The sequence below is a fragment of the Homo sapiens genome, chromosome 7, assembly GCF_000001405.40.
Source record: "Homo sapiens chromosome 7, GRCh38.p14 Primary Assembly".
Taxonomy (NCBI): Eukaryota; Metazoa; Chordata; class Mammalia; order Primates; family Hominidae; genus Homo; species Homo sapiens.
In genome coordinates, this window is record NC_000007.14 from 133,249,558 (window position 1) to 133,272,088 (window position 22,531).

Genomic DNA, 22,531 nt, shown 5'->3' on the forward strand with positions numbered 1-22,531 from the left:
TTTTAATTTTAATAAAGCCCAATATACCTATTTTTTCTTTTGTTGCTTATGCTTTTGATGTCATAGCTAAGAATCATGAAAATTTACCCTTGTATTTTGTTCTAAGAGTTTTATCTCATATTTAGGTCTTTGATCCACTTTTAGTTAATTTTTGCATATTGTATGAGGTAGGGTCCATCTTCACTTTTTTGCTTATGCTTATCCAGTTTTCAACACCATCTATTGAGGAGACTATTCTTTCCTTATTGAATGGTACTGTCAGCTTTGTTGAAAATCAATTGACTGTTTGGGTGCGGTGGGTCATGCCTGTAATCCCAGCACTTTGGGAGGCTGAGGTGGGCAGATCACCTGAGGTCAGGAGTTCAAGAACAGCCTGGCCAACATGGCAAAACCCCGTGTCTACTACTTGGAAGGCTGAGGCACAAGAATTGCTTGAACCTGGGAGTCAGAGGTTACAGTGAGCTGAGATTGAGCCACTGCACTCCAGCCTGGGTGACAGAAAGAGACTTCGTCTAAAAAAAAAAAAAAAGAAAATCAATTGATCATAGATGAATAGGCTTATTTCTGTATGGCTTATTCTACTATATTTATCTATGTGTTTATTTTTATGCAAGTACCATGCTATTTTGATTACTGCGGATTTTTAGTAAGTTTTGAAATCAGGAAGTGTGAGACCTCCACATTGATTTTTTTTTTTTTCCAAGATTGCTTTGGCTATTTGGGGCTCTTTTAATTTCCGTATGAATTTCAGGATCAGTTTTTCTGTTTCTGCACAAAAAGCCTAGTGAATTTTTATCGGAATTACATTGAATTTGTAGATAGCTTTGGGAGTTTGGCCATCTTAACAATATTGAGTTTTCCAACCCATGAACATGGATGTCTTTCCATTTATTTGAGTCTTCTTGTATTTCTTGCAGCAATGTTTTGTAGCTTTCAGTGTAGCAGTCTTTCACTTTCATGGCTAAGTTTATTCGTAGGCATTTTATTCTTTTTGCTGCTATTGGAAATGGAATTGTTGTGTAAATTTCCTTTTTGGATAGTTTATTGCCAGTTTACAGAAATACCACTGATTTTCTGTTGCTATTGATTTTGTATTCTGCAACTTTGCTGAATATTTTATTAGCTCTAATAGTTTTTTGTGTGTATTCTCTAGGATATTCTATATATAAGATCATATCATCCAAAAATAGATATTGTTTTATTTCTTCCTTTCCAATCTGGATGACTTATTCATGTTCTTGCCTCATTGCTCTGGCTATAACTTGCAGTACTTTGTTGAATAGAAGTGGCAAAAAAATGGTTATCCTTTTTTTGTGTCTAATATTAGTGGGAAGGCTTTCAGTTTTTCATCGACTATGATGATTGCTGTGGGTTGTTCATAAGTACCCTTTATAGCCTATAAGAAGTTCCCTTTTATCCCTAGTTTTCTGAGTGTTTTTATTGTAAGAGTGTTTTGGATTTTGACAAAGCTTTTTTCTGCAACAGTTGAGATGATCACACACTTTTTATCCTATGTCCTACATTCTTTTTTTTTTTTTTTTTTTTTTTTGAGACAGAGTCTTGCTCTGTCGCCCAGGCTGGAGTGCAGTGGCGCGATCTCGACTCACTGCAAGCTCCACCTCCCGGGTTCACGCCATTCTCCTGACTCAGGCTCCCGAGTAGCTGGGACTACAGGCGCCCGCCAACACGCCCGGCTAATTTTTTGTATTTTTTTTTAGTAGATACAGGGTTTCACCGTGTTAGCCAGGATGGTCTTGATCTCCTGACCTCGTGATCCGCCCGCCTCGGCCTCCCAAAGTGCTGGGATTACAGGCATGAGCCACCCGGCGCCCGGCCTGTCCTGCATTCTTAACCACTAGGCCCAACTGCCTCTCCCTTTCTCTATGAATTATTTAATTTTATAGCCCAGTTTTTGTACTTATACCATAAAAATCTTTTTTTTTTTTTTTTTTTTGAGACAGAGTTTCCCTCTGTTGCCCAGGCTGGCGTGCAGTGTGCAGTGGAACGATCTTGGCTCACTGCAGCCTCCGCCTTCTAGGTTCAAGCAATTCTCATGCCTCAGCCTCCCAAGCAGCTGGGATTACAGGCACACACCACCACGGTCCGGCTAACTTTTGCATTTTTAGTAGAGACGGAGTTTCACCATGTTGGCCAGGCTTGTCTTAAACTCCTGGCCTCAAGTGGTCTGCTCGGCTCTGCCTCTCAAAAAGTGTTGGGATTACAGGTGTGAGCCATCACACTTGGCCCAAAAATCTTATTTTCTTTAAAAGCCATTAAAATTATGATTTCCAGAAGCTATATGTTATTTCCTCATTTGAATGTTACATAATTTATTTAATTCTTCTGTGTTATTTAAAAAATGTCAATACTCTATATTTCTTTAGGAACAAAGTCCCTAGAACTGGAATTATTGGGCCAAAGGTTATGAATACTTTTAAGTTATCGTGTGTGTGTGTGTGTGTGTGTTATCTTCAACTAATTTTTAAAAATGTGAACTTCTACCAGCTCGATGTCTATTTAATAAAAGTAATTGATGTGTTCTGAGCTTGCTGCTCACAACTCCATGACCTCTGAGTTAGTTTGCTTTCTATTCCTTTAAGTTCTTCAATCTTTATTGCTACTGAGCAGGCCACCTCCTTCCTTACTTTTAAATTATTATTATTCTTGTTCCTCAGTCTAACCACTTTCCACGCACATTCTGGTCTTTTTTGTTTTGTTTTGTTCATTTGGTCTTATGAATTAATGACTAAGCCAACGGAACCAAATGCAGGAAATACTAAAAACTTACCGGTAAAAGTATTAACACAAATGTGCATTACTACTAAGTATTTCATTTAGCTTGAAAAAAAAAAAAAAGGAATCTGCAGTGTGGTCTGTTTGTTTTTAGCTTATACTGTCTTTTCTTCATCAATATTCATTTATTCCTGTACGTGTGGTTTTAGAACTATCTGGAAATATAGGAACATTGGGAAAAATTGAACTCCACATAAACCTAATGTAGAAACATTAGTTTTACAGAATACTAAAGAAAAGCATTTCTGCTTATATTCATTTTCGTATTTTATTGGATTTTTTAAAAAATCACTTGCACTTAAGGCAAAAACTTCGCACATAGACATCCGGCAGAGAACCCCTCTTTCATTTAAATACAAACCCTAACACATTTTGGCATCATCAGATAAATTTGATTTAAAGCCTGACAAAATTCTAAAAGCAAGGAAACTGAAAAAAGCTGGAAGTCAGAATAAAGATAAATGAAGACACTCATTACAAGACTTAGGAAGTTGCAGCTGGTTTAGCTTTCCTGCGCGCCCAGGAGACGGAGAAGGAAAACTACGACTCCCAGAGTGCTTAGAGAGAACACGCGCGTCGTGGCCTCAAAACTTGCTCCCTTAGTCCCGCCTCCTCACTTCAGTGATTGGATTTTCCACTTCCGCGCCTCTGGAATTCTCTTCACCCATTGGTGGAGACTCCTGCGGGGTCAAATACAGAATTTACGCACCCTTGGCTTCCTTGGAGCCTAGCGGCTCTCCCCGCGTCCAAGATGGCGGCAGAAGCAGCTGGTGGGAAATACAGAAGCACAGTCAGCAAAAGCAAAGACCCCTCGGGGCTGCTCATCTCTGTGATCAGGTGAGGGAGGCAGGAGGCAGGGTCTGGGGACTGGGGGCAGCGGCTCGACCTCCGCTTTGGAAGGGAGAAGGGTTAGCTGGGTCCCACCCTGCTCTCCCCTTTCCTCCTTGCCTCCCGCAGCCCCTCCCCAGGGCTCTAACCCCTCCCCAGGGCCCCAGCAATTCCCCCTCCACCTTTTTTTTCTGGGGTTAGCTATAGAGAGAGGAGCCCCGCCTCAGTCTTTTCTTTAGGGGCAGCACCTTCTATTACAGTCTCGGGACCCCAAAGCACGCTATTTGGGTTTGGTAGAGAAAACCAGGTGTAAAGGTGTGTTTATTGATTCCTAAAATGCTTGTTTATTGTTTGCCTGTAGCAGCACTCACTGAGAAAGGCGTCTTGTTTCCTGGACTTTGGGGTGTAAGGCCTTGGAGTCCGGAGATTCCTGTCACGAGTTGCAGATTTGTGTTTTCACACTCTGGATACTTTCAACCACCTGTGCGTGGCCACAGCCACAAATACAAGAATCTGCAGTGAGCTGGTAGGAGGACTGGGTTTGAAGGCACACATCGGTTTTCAATTTTTTGCCCTGCCTCCGCATTCTGGTCCATTCCTTAAAAAACAGAACCAAACCAATTTCAAATTATCCTCCATGCACTGCCCCTCTGCACCTCCCAGAAGATTAGGGTGGGGGTGGAGTGGGAGCGGTGGATCTTTTAGGAGCTTTTTTTTAAAAAAGCGAAATATATTGAGGATGGGGGAACCCTTTCAAGAATCTTGGATATGATGCAGGTACTGACTAAAACCAATCTAAATAAAATTTATTATGGCACGTTTTTTACGTTGTTGGCATTTGAATTTCAACTCGTTTATTTTTCATAAACAAACACTCTATTTTTCCCCACCTATACTAAACTTTTGTTTGAGTTCTTGCAAGTTTTCTGGAATGTATTGATCATCTTTTCAAAACCCAGGGCCCAACATTATCTGGTAGGTACTAAGCACTTCAATGAATGCATGTATCAAACCATTAGAACAGCTTACCACTCACTGACAAAGACACATCTTATGGGTCTTATTTAGGAGGCTTTAAGATTATGGCCTATTAAATCATTACTTTAATTTTCTTTTGGGCTTAAGAGAAAAACATCTCTGTGTGGAAATGCTTAATATACTTGGTAGGCCATACAGAGGAAGTGCTGTTGTATTGTGAATCTATAGGCCCACATTCTCGCTGTGACAATACGCAGGTAGTGTAGATGTATCTCATGATACTAAAATTCCAATAAGAATGTTTGTTGTTTCCCATCTGAATTTCCTGTGGAATTAGAATACCAGGACATTATTTGGATCCTTTTTTGAACTTGTTTGTTTTTTCTACCTTATAGTCAACATTTATTTAAACAATAGGTATTTAGTGCCAGTTGACAGTATGGCGTCTGGCACGTATTACATATTGAATAATATTTGTTGACTTAATGAGTAAATGCCCTGAGTTTTGCAAAGATGAAGCAGGCACAGTGTTACCCTTGAGGAGAGTATAGTTTACCTGGGGGATAAAACATGTCAGTAAAAATGATGACATAAGACTACGAGAGAGACATGAAATGTTATGGAAATCCAGGAGGAGTGGCTGTTTCTAATGAAAGTGAAATGTGTCATCTCATCTGTGTACTTTTGATTCTCCAGGCTGTTCCCATTTCTTTTATGCTATTTGTATTTTCCTCAGGGCCAGTTGAATTTACTCTAAATGTCATATTTTTGAAAACAGCATGAAAGCCAACCTAAAGCTTTTTTTACTAATGCTAATTCAGAACATACATTGCCTTTGCTTGACCATTCCTTAATATTCTCCAGGAGGAACCCCCTACTGCTTGATGGCTAAGATTTTGTGGTTATCCATCCATCTCTTATGCCAGTTTATTAATATATGACCTTCATTTTATCACTGTGATTTAGGCCTAGGTATTTTTTACTTTGATCTCTGTTGTGCATTATATTGCTTTTCTTTTCTTTTCTTTTCTTTTTTTTTGAGACAGAGTCTTGCTCTGTCCCCAGGCTGGAGTGCAGTGGCGCGATCTCGGCTCACTGCAACCTCCGCCTCCCAGGTTCAAGTGATTCTTCTGCTTCAGCTTCCCGCATAGCTGGGATTATAGGCGTGCGCCACCACACCCACCTAATTTTTGTATTTTTGGTAGATACAGGGTTTCACCATATTGGCCAGGATGGTCTCGATCGCTTGACCTTGTTGTCTGCCTGCCTTGGCCTCCCAAAATGCTGGGATTACAGGCATGAACCACCGTGCCCAGCCCTCATTTTTCTACTTTATCCTTGACCACCTCAGATCACTGCATAACACTTTTGTGATATAGTTTTTACAAGCATGGTGTAAGGGAATGTCTAGACCTAGTATCCTGGGCAAGTTTATTAAGGCTTGGGATGCATTGTTATATATGACCTTAAGACCGAATGGTGTTGGTGTTTGTATTTCAACATTTCTTTGAGTCACAGGGAGATTTTGGTGTTGGAGTGAGGATGTTGGTAGCTATAACTTCCTGTTATTTCCTTCCTAATATGCTTTTGAACATACCCAGTGGTTTAAATTTTATAAACAGTGGTAGTGAATGAGAGGACAATGGAAGTATTACTTTGGTGTTTGGGATGGGGAATGGGGGGAGAGTCCTGCGGGTAAGAGAACCAGGAATGTATGTTTCTTGTTAGTAAATTGTGCTGTCACTTGGAAGTTGCTTCTTGTATTTCTGTTCAATTTATGTCCTTTGTGTTTCCCTTCTTGCAACATTGTATTCATTATTCCTTTTTTTTTTTTTGAGACGTAGTCCTGGAGTCTCTCTCTGTCGCCCAGGCTGGAGTGCAGTGGCGCAATCTTGGCTCACTGCAAGCTCCGCCTTCCGGGTTCACACCATTCTCCTGCCTCAACCTCCCGAGTAGCTGGGACTACAGGCATGCGCCACCATACCCGACTAATGTTTTGTATTTTTAGTAGAGGCAGGGTTTCACCATGTTAGCCAGGATGGTTTTGATCTCCTGACCTTGTGATCCACCCGCCTTGGCCTCCCAAAGTGCTGGGATTACAGGCGTGAGCCACCGCGCCTGGTCTGCATTCATTTTTTCTTAATTCCTCATATAAAACTTTGATTATCTCCTCCTATCTTTAACGTTGTTTTCAAATTCTCTCCCAAAGGCTATAGTTTTCCTGGTTGCTTTGGCAACAAGCCACAAAAAGGAAAACCCATGTTAGGCTCGTGTTTATAAGGTCTGAGCATTCCTAACATGTACCGGGTACCTGCTAGCTCCTTTCATGTTTCCATGGACTTATTTTGTCACAAAATAAATTACCGACAGTTAGAGAGTCTACTGTCTTTTGAAAAGTTTGATCAGTTTAGCTTTTTAAAAAATATCTTTTTGTATCACTGAGTAGTAGTTTTTCTTTTTTGAATAGTGAGTATTAAAAATGCTCCTTTAATTCTCTTGCTCAGATGTGTAAAAATGTAATTTCTGTACTACATTATGTATCATAAAATTTTGTATTTTTTCAATGCTTTTCCTAACAGTTGGGGTAGCATTTATTGTTAGTCATTTTTAATATTGTATTCAAAAAACTACAGGTGGATAAGGGTTTGACTTAAGGACAGAGTATGTGTAGGCATGGGGAATATCCGAATCTCATCGCTATTTCCAGCCCTTGTACTAAATAGTTAAATAACGACTCTATTTTGCTAGTATAAAGTATTTAAACTTTAAAGCATTTAAAAGCCAAAAATAAAGATGAAGTATAGTGTAATTGTAATGCAAGTATTATATGATTTTTTAAGTGCTTTGAGACTCAAATAAAAATGCTTAATTATTTAAAAATTATCGAATAAAAATATTTCAGGGCAGTCAGATGTTTCAAAGGGTGGACTTCCAGGGCTTTACAGAAGAGGCCCTTAGGCCTGTGAGGTGGGGCTTAGGTGAGGGGACAGATAGTGGTTGGGATTCAGTTTGTCGGAGGCTACTGCCAACTGCAGCTTTTGGTTTTAAGTCTTGCCACTGGCCCTTTAAAATGGAACTAACCGGGGGGGACAGAATCCTGATTACGTGCTGATGTGTGATGTATGATTTGGACAGTTTTACACACACACAGACACACACCTACTTTTCTGTTGACCTGCTGATGTACAATTTGGATGGTTTACACACACGCACACACACACACACACACGTGCACACACACAATTTTTCTACTTTTCTGTTGATTTCCTTTGCCAACCTTTTGTTTGGTGGGAAGTCAGAGGAGGCAGCCTCTCTAGATGGGAAATAAGAAAGATGGCATTTTGGAGATATTTTATTTCTGTGAGTTCTTGCCAGATTTTTAATTGGGAAATGTGTCTGCCACTTACTGTTAGGTGATTTGCTTTCCAATTAAATGTTGTGTCACTTTATAACTTGGCCTGTAATAACCAGTTTAATTGGGAAGACAAACTTTGGTTGTGACTTCAGGAGACCTTATTGAAACCTTGGAGCAGAGCTTTTGAAGACACACTCTGGTTACAGATGTCAAGGAGGTTTGAAGGCAGTGGAAGGCTCACATTTTCATCAACTTTTATGTCTTCACAGAAGTTGAAATTTCAAAAACTTAGAAAATCCTTTACTGTAGACACCTGTTAAATTCCCTTCCTCCTTGGAGAGTATTTTGGTCAGCCCTGTGTTTAATTCAAAGTAAACTTTGTTGAAGGGGTCCAGGCTTTGACCAGGGCTTTGAACGAACAGCTTTGAGGTTCGTGACACAGTTTGTGGCAGGAAAGGAAAGTAGTCACTCTGTTCTGAGCCGAGTCTTGGAAGTTGGGTGAGGTGTTAATGTTCTTTCCATCACCATCTCTTCTTTTCATTTGAGCCCATCACATAATGGTGTTTGGTTTCTAGCTCTCTTTGTACCCTGGGACATCTTGGCCCTACTGATGCTGTGTTGTTTGAAAATTACTACTAGAATACCCAGAAACAGTGCTTTCAGGAAGTCCTGGGATGTCTGGCAGCATATGTGAACGTAAGGGGCAACACAATTACCGTACTCTGGCTCAGAATTAGTGTCGTGGACCCATGTCTTAGTGTACCTCGTGTAACTGTTAACACTGGGATTTCCTGAAGGCTTTGAGGCCTGTAGTATTGATGGTGGTGGTATGGTCAGGTTTTTTCAAGCCATTATTTGTACATAGATGTGGTCACAGCCTGTGGTGTGAATTGCTGTGGTTGTGTGTTGTAGTTGAAACTTGCTGTATTACCTGTGTAACCTTGGAACAGTTACTTAAAACCACCGCGTCTTAGTTTCCTCATTTGGAAAGTGGGCTAATACAATCTGTGTTTTTTTGGAACATCACATGAGATGAGGGTATATAAAAGTGCCTAGCACAGTTTGGCACACGGTAGGCACTCATATGTTCATTTCCTCCTTTCTAGGATCTGTAGCCTCTTCTGTTAAGAAGATTCTTTTGATATTAATAAATTTGCCGGATAGCAACCAGGCTATAATGTTAATTTTCCACCAGAAATAACCTTGACGCGTTGACTGGAGTGATTCCATTTGTCAGGATGTTGTCTTTGTAACCAGGAAATCTTGTACAGCTGAATTAAGATAGTAATTATTTGGTAATTTGAGAGTCAGCTGAAGAAGCTAGATTTAAATGCATGTATGGTTATGTGTGTATGTAAAACATGTAAAATATAAACACACATAAAATATAAAACATTTATTAGATTAAAAGACTGAAAAGACTATAAACAAGCAAATCAAGGGCCCAATACTCTGTTGAGATAATCCTTGTTGTCCTTTATAAAAAGGACAACAATATTGTGTATTGTACAAATTTGTAAAGACGAGTCATAGGAACATTGTCCAGCAATCTCATTTCCCAAAATATTACCTGTTTTTCAGGTTTTCGTATGGATCTTGTCCATGTATATACATTTTTTAAAATATTGCTATACAGTGTTCATAGTTATATATGTTTTTTAAGTGGAGGAATTAAACATACAGAACAGTAGGGAAGAAAAAATCACCCATAGTTTAATTTCTTTTTTTTTTTTTTTTTTGAGGCAGAGTCTTGCTTTGTCACCTAGGCTGGAGTGCAGTGGCGCCATCTCAGCTCTCTGCAGCCTCCGCCTCCTGGGTTCAAGCGATTCTCCTGCCTCAGCCTCCTGAGTAGCTGGGATTACAGGCACCATGCCCAGCTAATTGAATGTATTTTTAGTAGAGACAGGGTTTCACCATGTTGGCCAGGCTGGTCTCAAACTCCTGACCTTAGGTGATTGGCCTGCCTCGGCCTCCCAAAGTGTTGGGATTACAGACGTGAGCCACCGTCCCCGGCCCACTTGTATTTTCTTCACCAGCATTATCCACTATTAATACTTTTGCTTCCAGTTTAAGAAAAAAAAAATCACTCTATTGTTTTAAAAATAGTACTCTCATGATAAATAATTCAAACAGTGAAAATGCAGAAAACCGTGAAGATGAAAGTAAGAAAAATTATTTCAGATTTTATCCTCCTAAAGTTATTATCATTGATATTAGATGAACCTAATCCCAGACCCCTCCCTTTTCTATGTGAATGTATGTGTGTATATGAAATGTTGATGGCCAGAAATAATTTTTTATTAAATATGGGATCTTACTCTATATACTAATTTTATTTGTCCTCCTTTTTGAGGTATACATGTATATGCTAGAGTGCACAAATCTTAAGTATATGGCTTGATGAATTTTTACCTGTGTAACCACTGTCCAGCTGGAAATACAGAACACTTCCAGCATCCCAGCTGGAGATACAGAACACTTCCAGCATCCTAGAATGATCCTTCTCTACCAGTTTTTTCCAGTACTTTTTTTTTTGTGTGTGTAAGGATATCCATTTCCAACACCACTTGTTAAAAAGACTATCCTTTCTGTATTTGCTTTCTTTTGCAACTTTGTCAAAAACCAATTTACTTTATATGTGTGGGTTTATTTCTTGACTTTCTAGTCTGTTCCATTCATGTTTATATTGATAACAATACTGCACTGTCTTGATTACTGCTTTTTAAAGTTATGAAGACATAGTGTAAGCCCTTTAACTGTTTTTTTTTTTTTGTTTTTTTGAGACAGAGTCTTGCTCTGTCGCCCATGCTGGAGTGCAATGGCACCATCTTGGCTCACTGCAACCTCTGACTCCCGGGTTCAAACAATTCTCCTGCTTCAGCCTCCTGAGTAGCTGGGATTATAGGCGTGCGCCACCACACCCGGCTAATTTTTGTATTTTTGGTAGAGACAGGATTTCACCATGTTGGTCAGGCTGGTCTTGAACTCCTGACCTCAAGTGACCCACTTGCCTCGGCCTCCCAAAGTGCAGGGATTACAGGTGTGAGGCACCGCGCCTGGCCCCTTTAACTTTATTCTACTTTTTCAAAGTAGTTTTGGGTCTTCTAGGTTGTTTGCATTTTCTTACAAATTTTAGAATAAGCTAGTCAGTTTCTGCAATAAAACCTGCTGGGATTTTGATTGGGATTAATATATGGAATTGACATCTTAATATTGAGTCTTCTGATCCATGGATGGATGGTATATGTCTCCATTTAATTCTTCAATTGATCTCAGCAATTGTGTGTGTGTGTGTGTATAGATTTTAGTGTCTAGGTTTATATGTCTTTGGTCAGATTTCTATTTTAGGCCACTTCAAGTTGTGCTACAGTTCATGGAATGTTGATGTTCATTAAAAAATGCATTCTTTTTCTCTTGGTGTTTTGTTTTATATAGTTTGTGTTGCTATGCTGGTTCACTAGTCTTTTCTGCTATTCCTAATCTCTTGCTAATCCTATCTAATATTATTTTTATCTTAGATTATACTTTTCAATCTAAGATACAGAAGCTTATCTTCTTTATCTGGAAGTTTGCTTTGGGTCTTTTTCATGTCTCTGCTTACATGTTTTAACTTTTCCTGTAGCTTTGTGAACAAATGGAATATAGGTATTATAACAGTTTTAATGTCCTTGTGTACTAATTTTATCATCTGTGTCATTTCTGGGTTTCCATTGATTAATTTTTTTTTCCCTCTTCCTTTACATGCCTTGTAGTTTTTTTTTTTTTTTCTTTTTGAGACAGAGTCTAGCTCTCTTGCCCAGGCTGGAGCGCAGTAGTGTGATCTCTGCTCACTGCAACCTCTGCCTCCCAGGCTCAGGTGATCCTCCCCACTTAGCCTCCCAAGTTGCTGAGACTATAGTTGTGTGCCACTGCGCCCGGCTAATTTTCATATATATTTTTAGGTTTTGCTATGTTGCTCAGGCTGGTCTTGAATTCCTGGCCTCAAGCAATCCGCAGGCCTCAGCCTGTGAGCCACCACACCCGGGCACCTTGTAGTTTTTGAGTTGATGCTAGACATTGTCAGTTTTATCTTGATGGTGGTTGGTTTTGGATATTTTTGTATTCCACTATTCTTGAGCTTTGTTCTGAGATGTGGTTAAGTTACTTGGAAGCAATTTGGTCTTCTCAGGCCTTGTTTTATGTTTTGCTAGTTAGGAGCAGAGCAACATTTAGTCTAGGGCTAAGTTTGTCTCACTACTGTGACAAAATTCTTTTGAGTATTCCACTCAGTACCCTAAGAATTATGAAATTTTTTCACTCTGGCCTGGGGGATAGGCACTATTTCCAGCCCTGTGTGAGTTCAGATCATTATTTCCTCTAATCCTTTCAGGTTGTTATTTTCCTGGCCTTGGGTAGTTACCTGTCACACGTGTGCTGATCAATACCCAGCTGATGACCCTCTACAGATCTGCAGACTTCCGTGTGCTGCAGCTCTTTCCCATCTCCATTACTGCCCTGCAGATTCTAACCACCTTAATATGCAGTGTTTTGAAACGGGTTTTGTTTATTTGTTTGTTCGTTACTTTGTTAGTCCCTGTTGTTTCTTCTGGGCCTAAAGTAGAAGTCCATCAGTACTTCTTATTTTAAAAAAAATCTCTAAAAGTACTATTTTGGATTGCATCTTCTCAGAGAGGAAGAATAAGATATTCAGATGTGCTGTTTAAAGCGATGGCAGCTGGGTGCAGTGATATGTGCCTGTAGTCCCAACTACAGGCTGAGGTGGGAGGATTGCTTGAGCTCAGGAGTTCAAGTCCCATTGGGGCAGCATAGTAAGCCATGAAATAAATTATGACCTTGGTCCTTATAGTGGCCAGTTTTTTTTTTTTTATGTGCTAGGGGTTTAGCTTTGAAAAACATAGGTGTGTACAGTTTAACAGGAAGTAATAAGGGAAAATTCTTGTATTATATTTGACACTCTTGGTAAGAAAATAAAATATTTCAAGATTCTTAGGAGACCCTTTTCTGACTTTTATTTATTCTTTTAAAAGTACAGAGTCTTTGTCAAAATAAAATAGAATATAATTAAAGTGTTTTTCCATTTAAAACCTATTCATTGTGCTGAATATTATGGGAGAATTATACTAAAAATATCACTTGAGAGCTTGTTAGAAATGCAGAATCTCAGGTCCTACCTGACCTACCTGAGCTGAATCTGCATTTAAACAAGATTCCCAGGTGATTTGAAAGCACAATAAAGTTTAGGTAGCCTTAGAACAAGAAACCCCAGGCTTGAAATGTTCTCAACATATAGAAATGATAAATGTTAGTGACGATGAATATCCTGAATACCCTGATGGTTTGGCTGTGTCCTCACCCAAATCTCATCTTGAATTGTAGCTCCCATAATTTCCATGTGTCATGGGAGGGACCTGGTAGGAGGTAATTTAATCATGGGGGCAGGTCTTTCCTGTGCTGTTCTCATGATAGTGAATAAGTCTCATGAGATCTGATGGTTTTATAAATGAGAGTTCCCCTGCACAAGCTCTCTCTTGCCTGCTGCCATGTAAATGTGACTTTGCTCCTCATTCGCCTTCTGCCATGATTGTGAGGCCTCCTCAGCCATGCTGAACTGTAAGTCAGTTAAACCTCTTCCCTTTATAAATTACCTAGTCTCAGGTATGTCTTTATTGGCATCTTGAGAACAGACTAATACACCTGACTTGATCATTACACAGTCTGTGAATATTACAAAATCACATGTGTGCCATAAATATGTACAAATATTTTGCATTAATTAAAAGAGATACAAGAAGCCAATTGTAATTGTTAAAATTTTTTTTTCTGAGATAAACATTATATAGATATGTTTTTTAAAAAAGCATTCTTTTTTTTTTTTTTTTTTTTTTTTTGAGACAGGGTCTCACTCTGTCACCCAAGCTGGAGTGCAGTGGTGTGATCTCAGCTCACTTCATCCTCTGCCTCCCAAGCTCAAGCAATTCTTGTGCCTCAGCCTCCGGAGTAGCGAGGACTACAGGTGTGTGCCACCATGCCCAGCTAGTTTTTGTATTTTTTGTAGACAGGGAGTTTCACCATGTTGGCCAGGCTGGTCTCAAACTCCTGGCCTCAAGCAATCTGCCTGCCTTGGCCTCCCAAAGTGCTGGGATTACATGAGCCACCGTGCCTGGCCTATTTGACAGATCTTTTAATTTTTGTACATGGTTGAAAATTCCATAAAAATTTATATGTGTGTGTGTGTTTACATATGTATATGTTGGGGGGAGGGAAGATGGTGGGAAACAGGTTGATTGATTGATGTTTTAATAGATTAGTATATTACAGAAGTGCTATATATTCTTTATGTCCTCTTCCCTCTCCCCTAGACACTTTAACAATAACATATTAAAGTGTCCCTGATTTCTGCCTTTAAGAAATCTGCTTCAATTTGTATAACCCAGAATTTCCAAAATTTGACCACATAACACCTCTTAATTTTTTGTAAAACATTGTTTCTGAGGAACTCACCAGAAAAGAAGATCACTGTGGACAATGCTTGGAGAAGGATGTGGGGCTGCAAAAGAAGTAGAAAAAGAGGTAGAGTTGGGTGAAGTAAGAGTAGGGGGTAGATTTTAAGTTGACTTTGTCAACCTTGGGCTCAGTTTTATGCCTTAGTGGGGTGATTTTACTTAATATTAGATAATGACCTTTGTTGCCTAAGAGATTTATAGCTTTTGGTCCCCAGAAGTGTTCTATAACTGAGTTAATTGAACTCTTGAAAAACTGTATGTGTTGGGTGTAGTAATTGGCCCTAAGTGCTGTCTGAAGCAAGACACCAATGAATTTTCAATTGACTTTAAAGCAAAAATTGTTTACTGTCACTTGATACTAAATACATCTCTTTGTATTGTTAGGGGATGTTGTTTTTATGCATCAGAAAACTTTTTCAGAGGGACTTGTCATTGTGAATTGCTATCAATTGGGATGGGATTATCTTGTAGTTTGTGTGCTCTAATAAGACATAATTAAGAAATAAGCAATCACAATGTATAATTGAATATAATAAAATGCGATTTAAAAGTGTAATGTAGATTTGGTTATGCTTTGAGGGAAGCCGTATCTTATGTGATTATATAGTGATACACATCTTGGACATTTCTTTAATGTGTAATTTTTTACACATTAAACTCATAATTCTGAGTAACTCAGAATTATGATGAGGGTCTCTTCTTTTCATAATTCACTGGAAGCATTTATAGACTATTTGTCATATACAAAATGTTCTGCTTAGAATAATAGGCTTGGAAAACTTATTTCTTAACTTGTTTCTTTAGTGCTTATATTCTTAACTATCTCTTTTCCTCTTCAGTTTGTACTTTCACTCTATTCATACTTAGGACAGGCTTTTGTTTCCCTGATGACATAATAGGTATATGGTACTGTCAGCCATTTCTCAGATTGGCCCTTTAGTATTTTAAAGGCAAAGAGAAACTGACTGTCATACTGTGAAATTAGGGCTGAATAGATATAATAACTTAATCTAATGTCTTCTGGTTAAAAGCAGTTTGGGAAAGAAAACAGGATTTATGTTGTAAAGAATCACATCAGCTCTAGACTCTTTTTTTCTTGCATCGGGATGAGTAGCAACAGGAATATTATGTTCTGGAAAGATCAGTAAGCTAATAATTACCTTTTTTTCCATCTCGGAGTGAGGTTCTGAAACTAGTGAACTCTTCAGCATTTGTTGAGAGTTTATGCTTAGTTTTTGCCTTATGATAATGTGTTTGAATATTTTGTAACTAAATCAGGATAACCCCTTCTCTATCTAGTACTCTTTCCATTATGTAGTTTAAGAAATTTCACTGGGGCCAAGATCGCGCCACTGCACTCCAGCCTGAGTGACAGAGCTAGACTCTGTCTAAAAAAAAAAAAAAATTCACTGGAATTGTCCCAACAAGAGAGAAGGTAGCACGGATTGGGTGGTTCAGGTGCTTGATGAGTAGAAAAGGCAGGGATTCGGTGACATAGTTTATCCACTTAGGGGCCCATTTTGAGTACTTTTAAGAGGGGTCACTGAGATTTGATTCTTATTGTAGATTGTGCTCTGTAGAGCTGTTGCTTCCTGATAAGTGATTTTTGGATATGTGAAGCTCTACTTGTAATTAGTTTTTCTGAGTTGCTTGAAGGGATTTCCATTCATTGTTTTGTTCATCTTTATTATTCCTGGAGGAGAAGTCACTGGATGCCAACAAGGAATGTCTTTAGTAGACAATTAAGCCGATTAACTGTTTTCAGAAAGCATGACTTAATGCTAACTATTCTGCAGGTGTCGCCAAAATTCAGGTGTATTACATTAAATATTTCTTATAGCCAGTTAATTAGTTTAGTTATCTGGGGCTGTATTAGGCAGCTAATTCTTGTGGATTTGCCAAGAATCTGTGTTGCTTCTGACTAAGGAGAGTGACTGATAACATTTATCTTGAAAAATTAACCAACCAAAATGACACTGCCTGTGTTTTAAAGTTTGGTATATTAGTCTGCTTGGGCTGCCATAACAAAACACCAAATACTAGGTGACTAAAGCAATAGAAATGTATTTTCTCACAGTTCTGGAGGCTACAAGTTCAAGATCAACCTACCAGGGCTGGTTTCTAGAGAAGCCTCTCACTCTGCTTGTAAATGGCTCCCTTGCTCTGCTGTCACATGGCCTTTGCTGTGTAAATGTGTGGAGAGGGCTTCTCCTTCCTTTTCCTTTCTTCTAAGCACATCAGTCCTTTTGGATTAAGGCCCACCCTTATAACCTCACTTAACCTTTATTACCTTCTTTGTAGGCTGTGTATCCAAATACAGTAACAGTGAGAGTCAGAGATTCAACATTTGAATTTGGGAGGGACACAGTTCAATTTGTAACAGGTGGTACCCTGGGCACTCTTATTATTTTGATAAAATATCCTAAACTGCTTCTAGAGTGAGAATCTCTCATCACCTACAGATAGTCTTGAGGCTCGGGCAAGAGCCCTGGTCAAGCTGTTAATTTTTCACAATTGTTTGTCAATCTTACTGCATGCTTTTCTGGCTTATATTAAAATTAATAAAACATAATTTGATCTATTTAGTCCTGTAAGTTCCTGAAATTCTAGACTTAAATTAAAATGAATTGTTGGAAAACTTTGTACCTGGGCTGTATTCAGATCTTTCAAAATCTCTAGGCCTGAATTGAGTTTTAATGTTATGTTCTTGAAGGAACTTACAAGAAATGGCCATGTAAGATTTGTGACTTTGTCTGTTTTCAGAAGATTGTTAAGGACATCTTTTACTATATTAGGTCTTCCATGTTTTTTAAGTGAAAGATTTCTTTTAGAATTTAGGACTAGTTCAAAATTTGCTTCCTTAAAGGAACTGGAGTCCATATTTTTTGAGAATGAGAATTATATCATGTGATGTGTCTCCTTTTGCCTGGGCTGCTAGGAAGCTCAGATTTAGTTTGGGGGCTCACTTCATATTAACTTTGCTTGCCCATATGATCTGCATAGTTGTCTTTTACATTTATTTGGTGGTGTTTAGCCCTGCATCTCTTTAGTCCCACTTTCTCATTTGTATTTTACTTTTTATTGTTTATATTCTTGCACAAGCCATCTCACATCTTTTTTGGGAAGAGGTGGGATATAATTAAAATGAAACTTGAATGTAGATATTGTTACTCAGTTTCACAATTAAATACTGGTTGAAAGGTTATCAGGCTTTGGCTGGGTGCTCTTCCCCGAGTAGTTTCATAGAACACTCAGAGTAAAAGCTCACAAAGTTGGGCCTGGTCTGGCTCCCAGTTTTCTCCTTGATTCATTTCCTGTCACTGTCACTCTTTCTCAAGTCTCTAAAGCCACATTGACCTCCTTGCCATTCCATGTTCCTTGAGCAGGCTAAACACACCCTGTTTCAGGGTCTGTTCTCTCTGGAATCAGCTTCCCAGATAGTGCCCTTTCTCTCTCACTTTCTAGTAAGCTGTATTCAAATGCCATCTTTATCCGAGAGGCCCTCCCTGGCCTCCTTATGTGAAGTAGCCTCCTTCCTCCTTGCCTGTCTTGGCTTTTGCGTAGCTGTTACCTCCCAGCTCCCCTCACTAGAACATAAGCTTCATGAGGGAGGGATTGGTTTTGTTCATTGCTGTTATGTATCTCTAGGCCCTTAGAACTGTGCCTGGTAAGTAATAGATACTTAGTGAATATTTGTTGAATGAATAAGTGAATTAAATAGGGTCACGAGCAACTATTTGTTCTTTTCTACAGATTTTTGAGCATGCATTTCATGTGAGACAATTTAGTTGCAATTGTTTCTTAAGGCTGGGAACTGTCCTCCATGACCTCTCTAGATCCTGCATCGCACTGCTGCTCATTACTTAGCTTTTACTAAGCACTTAATGTACCAGGCACTGTAAGAATATAGAGAAAAGGTCTGATCTCAGTTCAGAAATAAATATCCTCAGGAACTTTAGAAAGGGATAGGCTTTAGGGGATTTGGGCTAACAATGTTGTGATTCATAGATTATTTATTTTGTTCCCAATAATATATCAGACAACACTTCCGTCACACTTTATATTTTCAAAGCACATTCACACATTTCTCCAGTCCTAACAATATCCTGGCAAGGCGGGTATTCTTATTGTCTTACCTGTTTTACAAAGAAAAAAACAGACCCAGAAAAGTTAAGTCACTTACCAAAGGTCAAGCAACTTGAAAGTTGCAGAGCTCCGTTTGAATCTGGGTGTTTTAAAATTCCAGAGCCTGTGTTCCTTTAATGTGTATGTGGATGGCTCTTGTTTGATATAGTTGATGAGGTAGTAAGAGACTTTCTTGGTGTATTCCTAATGGTAGTATTCTAGATTTGGGTTTTTCTTTTTGCATCCTTTTATTCCACTTGAGTGATGAATCACTTTTGGTGACTGACCTTATTTTCACAGGTGTGCTTTTTCCTTTATTTGATCTTTCTTTTGTCTTTAAGAACAATACTGACTTTTATGTATTTTCTCCTGTCCGGACTCCATTACTCTATTAAGACCAAAGTGAAAGCAAAATTGCTCCACAGAAGGAACCAGTGATGGTGACTGATTATTTTCCTTTCAAAACATTTGATCGTCTACACTGAAATACAGAGGCTAGTATGAAAATGGGAAACAGACAAATTCAGTTTTAGATCTCCAGTTATTTACCCTGGGTTTTAATGCTTGTTTATGGGACTCACTTGGAGCTCATGGTTGTGAATCCACTAGAACTTAATAACATATTTGTTCCTACTAGATGTTGTTAACAGTAGCTTTACATGTGTACCGTGGTCCTTTTAGCCCTTTAGGTAAATAAATTCCTTCCTGGGAATTAATTAGTCATGGTTAAGATGTAATTCATCATGCAAAATATCAGAGCTGTCTTAATGAAAAATTCTTAATGATCCAGAAATGTCTTTGTGACCAGCTTAACTGGAATCTAGTTTATTCTTTTATGTTCCTCCATGAACTTGACAATAATTTATAAGTCATAATCATTTTGAGAATAGGAATGGAAAAAAAAATCTAGAGTGATTCAATAACTTGAATACATCTTGGGTTGGCAACTTTATGCCATTTGTCCTTTGATCATGTCTTTTATTTAGCTCATGCTTTTAAATCTTGCCCAGATTCAAGACTGTTATTACTAAAAAAGCTGCTTGGTGCTCTCTTTCCATCCCTAACTGTCTGCTGTTCTCTTTACATATGAACTGTGGCTTGATGAGAGTATGTGTCCTGCAGCTCAGGAGTTGAAGGCAGGAAAGATAGGATTTTGTAACATGTATAGTAGAAAGAGCATGGATTTTGGAGTCAAATATACTTAGCTTTAATTTCAACTCTGATATTAACTATGTGCATGTGTATATTTTACTTTACCTCTGTGAGCCTCTGATTCCTTATCTGTAAAAAGGCTGGTGATAATATTTTATTATACTAGACTGCTTTGAGGATTGTCTTAGATTAGGTATGCAAAATAACCACTGTATTGCCTGGTGTATTATAGATGCTCAGTAGTTTTTATCCTGTGTCTCACTTTCACCTTCCTTTCCAAACATGTAGAACACAGGGATGCATGTAAATTTCTGCATTTAGTTTTAAAATTTCACAAGTGGAGGATGAGTGAGAGTTGACTTGTCAGCACTTACTGTCAAAGGGATCTTGGATAATTTTTGGACTATATTTTTAAAAATGGAATGTAGTTTTAGGCTATATTATTAGAAAGATAGTGTTCATGTTGTGGGATATAAAACCTCTTTCTGTTTGGAAGTATGTTGTATTCACTTCTCAGCACATCTGAGAGGCAGGTTAGTGAAGCCATTAAGAGCCATATGGCCCAGGTTTGAGGTCAGACTCTGCTCCTTAAAGACTGTGCCTTGAATAAAAAACTCCATCTCTTTATCTCTACAAAGAGGGATAAGTATGGTACTGATATGGTTTGGCTGTGTCCCCATCCACATCTCATCTTGAATTTTAACTCCCACAATTCCCGCGTGTCGTGGGAGCAACTCAGTAGGAGGTGATTGAATTATGGGGGTGGGTCTCTCCTGCGCTGCACTGTTCTCGTGATAGTGAATGAGTTTCACCAGATCTGATGGTTTTAGACAGGGTAGTCCCTGCACAAGCTCTATTCTCTTGTCTGCTGCCACGTGAGATGTGCCTTTCACCTTCTGCCATGATTATGAGGCCTCCCCAGCCATGTGGAATTGTAAGTCCAGTAAACCTCTTTCTTTTGTAAATTGCCCAGTCTTGGGTATGTTTTTATCGGCAGCATGAAAATGGATTAATACAGGTACCTACCTCATAAGGATGTTTTTGCAATAAATTAATTATTATGTGTAAGCCACTTAGATTAATGCCTGGCACATAGTAAGTTCTATGTGAGTGTTACCTGTTTTTGAGGGGACTTCAGATGAAAGCAAAAAAGATGGTGGGCTGCTGGAAGTCATGGTGTGGAAGAAACAGTTGAAGAAACTGGAGGTGTTTAACCCAAGAAAGAACTATTGAAAGTCCTTTACCATTTAAAGGGAAATTTTATGGAAGAAGGAATAGACATTTTTTTGTGTTACAGAAAAAGATGAGACTAGGATCAATGGGTAGAAATTAGAAAGAGGCTGATTTTATTTTATTTTAATGGAAGGCTTTATAATAAGTAAAGCTGTTCAAAATTGCAGTGAATTGCTTTGTCAGCTGGTAGAGCTCTGCATTACACAGAGGCTTAGAAGGCTGAAGAGAGGTTCATGACCTGGCTGGTGGGGTGAGCTCAATGACAAGTGTTGTCTTCTGCACTGCTATCTGTTCAGGTTAAGGGACTAGTGATAATCCCACACTGAAATTTGCTGGGATTTGCTAGCATGTGTGAGAACTTTCTCCCTGGAATTAGTCAGCTCTTTCATGCTTTGCTTTTTTTTTTTTTTTTGAGATGGAGTCTCTCTCTGTTGCCCAGGCTGAAGTGCAGTGGCACGATCTCGGCTCACTGCAACCTCCGCCTCCTGGGTTCAAGTGATTCTCTTGCCTCAGCCTCCCGAATAACTGGGACAACAGGCACGGGCCATTGCGCCTGGCTAATTTTTTATATTTTTAGTAGAGACAGGGTTTCACCATATTGGCCAGGCTGGTCTCGAACTCCTGACCTTGTGATCTGCCCGCCCCGGCCTCCCAAAATGCTGGGATTACAGGTATGAACCACTGCGCCTGGCCTCTTTCATGCTTTTATGGTCTATCATTTATTAATTTTTATTGAATATTTATCTCAGACAAACATTTATTGTCTGAGACATTGTATTTCTGGTCTCATATTGCAGAAAAGAAAACAGAACTTGGAAATAAATGTTCACCGCCTACCATTGCTTGGCATCATGCATTCAATCCTTGAAGGAACCCAATGACTTAGATTTTATTATTGTTGGGAGACCATTCTCCTCAGGGCTCTTGTGTTTCTGAAGTTCTTGTGAGCCAAGCACTGATTGCCCTAAGTTTTAGGTTATTTTGCCAAGGATGTTTGTTTAGCAAACAGCGTTGGAAGATAGAGATGGTCTCTCACTCCAGAGCAAGGGGCAGATGTGTTTCCAGTCCAGTCTCTGAGCTTAGATTCGGTTTTCGGAGCTCGGAGTTCTTCTCCAGGAGCTGCCTATGTGGGCAGGCTTCTCTTTGGGCCCATCTGCCTAACCCTTGTGGGACTTGGGGGCAAGGGGAACTGATGTGAACATGCTGCGCTTACGCCGCTTGCTGTGCTGTGAGTGTGATCAAGTCTTTTGGACTTGAGGAGCTCTAGGAGTTTTGTGTCTTCTGCCAGCACCTGTGAAACTGTGGCTAACCTCTTAGCTTTCGAGTAGAATAAAATCTCAGCCTTCACCATTCTTGACATTAAGGAGGAATAAGGTGACAATCAGAGAGTTTAAACCTAATGCCCAGAGTTAAGTGATCTAGTATTTGGGGGCGGTGGGATTTTAACTTTTGTCTTCAGAGGGTGTACTTTTTATTATGTTATGGAAAAACGCTACTGTCTTTGCTGCTGCCATTACTACTGTTATTACTGGAACAATAATAGCTAACGACAACAACCAACATT

The 22,531-nt window shown here is 39.1% G+C and overlaps 1 protein-coding gene across 11 annotated transcripts in view, besides 2 other annotated features; it reads left to right on the forward strand.

The window, feature by feature from the left end:
* Window positions 3,288-3,337: an enhancer, noted in NCBI's record as "active region_26684". NCBI's record gives its function as "activates an Ori minimal core promoter by ATAC-STARR-seq in GM12878 lymphoblastoid cells {active_cell/tissue: GM12878}" and the evidence as "EXISTENCE:reporter gene assay evidence [ECO:0000049][PMID:35858748]".
* EXOC4 (exocyst complex component 4) overlaps window positions 3,521-22,531 on the forward strand; it is an 847,874-nt gene continuing 828,863 nt past the window's right edge. For all 11 annotated transcript variants that reach the window (XR_007060126.1, XR_007060125.1, XR_007060123.1 and 8 more), the window contains exon 1: window positions 3,521-3,630. Coding sequence is in view for 3 of the 11 variants with exons in the window: in NM_021807.4 (NP_068579.3) it covers window positions 3,545-3,630 (86 nt within the window). In the remaining 8 variants the exon portion in view is untranslated. The remainder of the gene's footprint in view (window positions 3,631-22,531) is intronic.
* Window positions 3,548-3,607: an enhancer, noted in NCBI's record as "active region_26685". NCBI's record gives its function as "activates an Ori minimal core promoter by ATAC-STARR-seq in GM12878 lymphoblastoid cells {active_cell/tissue: GM12878}" and the evidence as "EXISTENCE:reporter gene assay evidence [ECO:0000049][PMID:35858748]".